The sequence below is a fragment of the Homo sapiens genome, chromosome 8 (genome assembly GCF_000001405.40).
Source record: "Homo sapiens chromosome 8, GRCh38.p14 Primary Assembly".
NCBI classification, from domain to species: Eukaryota; Metazoa; Chordata; class Mammalia; order Primates; family Hominidae; genus Homo; species Homo sapiens.
Window position 1 is genome coordinate 54,315,581 of NC_000008.11, and position 1,225 is coordinate 54,316,805.

Genomic DNA, 1,225 nt, shown 5'->3' on the forward strand with positions numbered 1-1,225 from the left:
CAGACTGAGTTTCTGCAGTCAGTTTGGCTCCACTGTTCTTTGGCTACGCTGCCTGTCTTGGTTGAGGCTGAGCTGGGCTCGGTGCCGGTGAAGTGGTGTCTCTGCCTGCATGGGTCTCTGCCTGGTGCCAAGAGCTTCTACTCCACGTGCCTACACTTCTCTGCTGCTCCTCTGAGTCTCTGTAAGAGGGAGGTGTCTTCTGTAAGAGGGAGGTGTCTTCTGTTTGCATCCCCTTCACTCTGCAAATTACCAGGAATGCTTGTTCCCTTGGTACGAGCCTGGCCTGGAGTAGCCCAGCTAATTTTTGCATTTTTTCATAGAGACGGGGTTTCACCCAGGTTGGAGTGCAGTGATGTGATCACAGTTCGCTGCAACCTCTAACTCCAGGGCTCCGTGGTTCCCATCATGGCTGCCTTCTTCTCCAGCTCCCCTGGTCCATGAGACAGACCTGCTTGTGCCCAGACCGAAAATGCAGACAGTATCCACGTAGGTGCTTTCCCGAGGGTCTTGTCCATGTAGGTGCTTTCCGGAGGGGATCGTGGGTCCTGTAAACTCAGGAGATGGATTGTGGGATCATAATGTCCATGTTTTTGTTTCTGTTTTTAAATACTTGTTTTTTTTTCTACCTATGGTGATATCTCTAAATATTACAGTTTAGTTTTACCTTTTTGAAATTTAAATAGTTTCTTTCTTTTCTTTTTTTGAGATGGAATCTCGCTCTGTCACCCAGGCTGGAGTGCAGTGGCGCAATCTCGGCTCACTGCAAGCTCCACCTCCCGGGTTCACGCCATTCTCCTGCCTCAGCCTCCCGAGTAGCTGGGACTACAGGCGACCGCTACCACGTACGGCTAATTTTTTGTATTTTTAGTAGAGACGGGGGTTTCACCGTGTTAGCCAGGATTGTCTTGATCTCCTGACCTCGTGATCAGCCACCCTCGGCCTCCCAAAGTGCTGGGATTACAGGCGTGAGCCACCGCGCCCGGCCTTTCTTTTCTTTTTTTTTTTGCTTTGGAGTTTCGCTCTTGTTCCCCAGGCTGGAGTGAAAAGGCGCCATCTTGGCTCCCTGCAACCTCCGCCTCCGGGGTTCGAGAGATTCTCCTGCCTCAGCCTCCCAAGTAGCTGGGATTATAGGCATGTGCCACCACACCTGGCTAATTTTGTATTTTTTAGTAGAGACGGAGTTTCACCATGTTGGTCAGGCTGGCCTTGAACTCCTGACCTCAGG

The 1,225-nt window shown here is 51.0% G+C and overlaps 1 annotated feature.

The window, feature by feature from the left end:
• Positions 784–963: a silencer, noted in NCBI's record as "fragment chr8:55228924-55229103 (GRCh37/hg19 assembly coordinates)". NCBI's record gives its function as "represses an EF-1alpha promoter that drives an FKBP-Casp9 reporter gene in an ReSE screen in phorbol 12-myristate 13-acetate-treated (for megakaryocytic differentiation) K562 erythroleukemia cells {active_cell/tissue: K562(+PMA)}" and the evidence as "EXISTENCE:reporter gene assay evidence [ECO:0000049][PMID:32094911]".